The sequence below is a fragment of the Homo sapiens genome, chromosome 9 (assembly GCF_000001405.40).
Source record: "Homo sapiens chromosome 9, GRCh38.p14 Primary Assembly".
Classification (NCBI taxonomy): Eukaryota; Metazoa; Chordata; class Mammalia; order Primates; family Hominidae; genus Homo; species Homo sapiens.
The window spans coordinates 137550978-137554443 of record NC_000009.12 but is presented as its reverse complement, the minus strand read 5'-3'; the positions used below and the strand labels follow the sequence as shown (position 1 = coordinate 137554443).

Here is a 3466-nt window from a genome sequence, read left to right as displayed (position 1 = left end):
TTGAGGACAACCAGTTACAGATTCATTCCTTCTCTCACAGCTTCATTTGACTAGCCTAAAAAACATATATATTGTATAAAACTACCCTCAGGCTATGTGTATAAGGTGTACATGAAACAAAATTGAATTTCATGTTTAGACTTGTATCTCATCTCATCCCCAAGATGTCTCATTATGTACATGCAGATATTCCAAAATCTGAAATCCAAAACATTTCTGGTTCCAAGCTTTTTTTTTTTTTGCCCCCCGAGATGGAGTTTTGCTCTTGCTGCCCAGGCTGGGGTGCAATGGCACAATCTTGACTCACTGCAACCTCCGCCTCCCAAGTTCAAGCGATTCTCCTGCCTCACCCTCCCAATAGCTGGCATCCACCAGCATGCCCGGCTAATTTTGTATATTTAGTAGAGACAAGGTTTCTCCATGTTGGTCAGGCTGCTCTCAAACTCTGGACCTCAGGTGATCCGTCCACCTTGGCCGCCCAAAGTGCCGGGATTACAGGCGTTGAGCTGTGCCTTTTTTTTTTTTTGAGACAGAGTCATGCTCGTCACCCAGGCTGGAGTGCAGTGGCTCAATCTCGGTGGCTCCATCTCGACTCACTGCCCTCCACCTCCCAGGTTCAAGTGATTCTCCTGCCTCAGCCTCCGGAGTAGCTGGGATTACAGGTGTGTGCCACCATGCCTGGCTAATTTTTGTATTTTTAGTACAAATGGGGTTTCACCATGTTGGCCAGGCTCCTGACCTCAGATGACCCGCCTGTCTCGGCTTCCCAAAGTGCTGGGATTACAGGCATGAGCCAGGGCGCCCAGCCCCAAGCATTTTGGATAACGACGCTCAACCTGTATTGGATCCCTATGCAGGTAAGTAAAAGGGAGTGTGTGTTCCAAGTTGCCTTGGGGGTCATCAGCTTGAAATATGTGAAGTCTGTAGGGAACACTCATCACTGCAGCACCCACACGGGTTAGCTCCCAAATACTGGACAGATGGTGACTTTAGGTGTGTGAACAAACTGGGTGTGTTACATCCAACTCCTGCTGTGAGGGCTTTTGTCTCTCTGGGAGGAACTGTGGTTGAGGTACAGGCCACTATTTGTCAAATCCTCAGCATTTACTAATGATACATAGGTGACTACAAGCAAAAAAACATGCAGTTTTATCCCTTTTTTGAGACGGAGTCTCACTCTGTTACCCAGGCTGGAGTGCAGTGGTGCGATCTCGACTCACTGCAAGCTCTGCCTCCTGGGTTTAAGCGATTCTCTTGCCTTTGGAGTAGCTGGGACTACAGTCGCACGCCACCACGCCTGGCTAATTTTTGTATTTTTAGTAGAGATGGGGTTTCATCATGCTGGCCAGGCTGGTCTTGAACTCCTAATCTTGTGATCCTCCCGCCTCAGCCTCCCAATGTGCTGGGATTACAGGCGTGAGCCACCGCACCTGGCCTTATCCCTTTCTTCTTTTCTGATGATACAACACAACATGTCACTATATGTCAGATTGCAACAGGAAATTTTCCTAGGCTGGGCGCAGTGGCTCACACCTGTAATCCCAGCATTTTGGGAGGCTGAGGCGGGCGGATCATTTCAGCCCATGAGTTCTCAGCCTGGGCAGCATAGTGAGACCCCCATCTCTGTATCTTTGTTCCCTGGGTGAATAATTTGGGGGATGAACTGACCAGTGCTGTCATCCGGCACAATCTGCCTTGTAAATTCTTTCTCCTGCAAGCTGAGTGATGTTTGCCCTTGGCAGGTTCCCAGAACCTTCGGACTCGGAAGATGACCTCCAAAGAGGTTCACAGCGCCGAGTCTGCATGAGAACTCGGCTTAGGTGCCTGCACTGAAATCTGTCATGCTGCACACTTTGCCATGACCTGAGGCCAAAAAACAAACACCGTATAGCTGGCAAAGGCGTTTAATAGAAATGAGATGAGGGCAGGCCGCCCCTCCCCCGCCCAGCTAGCGCAGGAAGTTCCTGGGGTAGAGCTGGAAGAGCTTTCCCTCCTGTGTGGGCTCGAAGCCGTACTTTTCCAGGTTGTCAGGGTCGAAGGTACCGTCCTTGAAGTCCTTTTCGATGGCAGGCGCCACGGCTTCGCTGAAGAGCTGCGCGGCCGTCAGGGGCGTCTCCTCGCTCTCAGGGGCGAGGTAGCTCACGTAGGGCTTGAGCTTGAAGCCGGTCAGATCCGGGACGACGAACTCCGGGACCATCTCCTTGATCTGCACGAACCTCCAGCCCGAGGTGAGGAAGCCGATGCCCTTGGCGCCCCGGCCCTTGCGGCCCCTGAAGCTGCGCGGGCCCCGCTTGCTCGTCCACTTGCTCATTCGGTCCGCACCCCGGACCAGGCAGCGCGCCGCTGCGGCCAGGACGCCCATGCCGCGCCCTGCGGGAGGAGAGAGCGGGTAGTCGCGGCCCCGGGAACCCGGCCAGCCCCGCCCCTGGCCGCGCGCGGCGCCCGCCCCAATCCGACAGACTCACCTGGACCGGAGACCCCACACGAGCTCCAAGCGGCCCCGGCTCCGGCGCCAACCCGGCCTCGACCTTGCTCCGCTTCCGACCGCTGCGTCGCAGCAAGAGCGGCTCCGATTGGCCGCGGCCGCCGCGTCCAATAGCGGCCCCAATCTGGTAGGGGGTGTGGCCGCGGGGACTCGGCCAATGCGAGGAGCGCGCGGGGCGGGGCGGGGCTCGCGGGGCTGGCGGTGCGGGGCCGGCGGTGCGGGGCTCGCGGGGCGGGGCTCGCGGGGCGGGGCTCGCGGGGCGGGGCTCGCGGGGCGGGGCTCGCGGGGCGGGGCTCGCGGGGCGGGGCTGGCGGATGAGTGATCGCTCTCAGCGCGGTGGTCCCTGGCGTCTCCACTGCCCGCCACTGCCTGTGTTCGTCCGCCAGGTGGCCGGCGGTTTCCCGGGAGCCCAGTCCCCCTGAGGCCGTGAGGTGGCGTCGGGAGGTCGGGGAGGACGCGGGCCCTGGACTCGAGACGGCCGCCGCGTTGACGCCGCGACCCTGCCTTTCTTACCCCTCCGCCGGGCGCGGCTCCTCTGGGCGGAGCCGGCAACCGCGCGGGGAAAGCCCGGGACCTGCAGCCGGGAGGGCCCGGGCTGTCTGTGCTCCCCCGCAGGCCGGGCAGTGGTGTGGGGGGACTCGAGCCCTCGCGGTGCCCAAATTAATCAATAATCTTGGACCCAGCACGTCCGGCTTGCGCACTGAGCCCTCCTGCCCGGTCACCCTCGCAGGCGACCTCTCACCCCACGCGGAAGTCGCCCCCCAGCCGCACCCTCACAATCCGGATCCACCCCCTCCCCAGCTGCACCCCGTCCCCAGCGGCACCCCCACAGCCCAGATCCATCCCCTCTCCAGCTGCACGCCCTTCCCCAGCGGTACCCCCACACCCCAGATCCATCCCCTCCCCAGCTGCACCCCCTCCCCAGCGGCACCCCCACGCCCCAGATCCACCCCCTCCCCAGCTGCACCCCCTCCCCAGCGG

General features: G+C 59.8%; 1 protein-coding gene and 1 long non-coding RNA gene across 2 annotated transcripts, besides 1 other annotated feature; one reads left to right on the top strand and one right to left on the bottom strand.

Annotated features, from left to right (window-relative positions):
• On the top strand, positions 764-1917 carry LOC124902317 (uncharacterized). Its single transcript, XR_007061883.1, has 2 exons — positions 764-857; positions 1743-1917. It is a non-coding gene; the product is annotated as an uncharacterized LOC124902317 (long non-coding RNA).
• On the bottom strand, positions 1889-2565 carry MRPL41 (mitochondrial ribosomal protein L41). The gene is made up of 2 exons (NM_032477.3): positions 2466-2565; positions 1889-2370 (listed from the first exon to the last, which is right to left on the bottom strand). The coding sequence occupies exon 2, from the start codon at positions 2360-2362 to the stop codon at positions 1949-1951; it is 414 nt and encodes a 137-aa protein (NP_115866.1). The 5' UTR covers positions 2363-2370; positions 2466-2565; the 3' UTR covers positions 1889-1948.
• Positions 2294-3243: a silencer, noted in NCBI's record as "silent region_20628". NCBI's record gives its function as "represses an Ori minimal core promoter by ATAC-STARR-seq in GM12878 lymphoblastoid cells {active_cell/tissue: GM12878}" and the evidence as "EXISTENCE:reporter gene assay evidence [ECO:0000049][PMID:35858748]".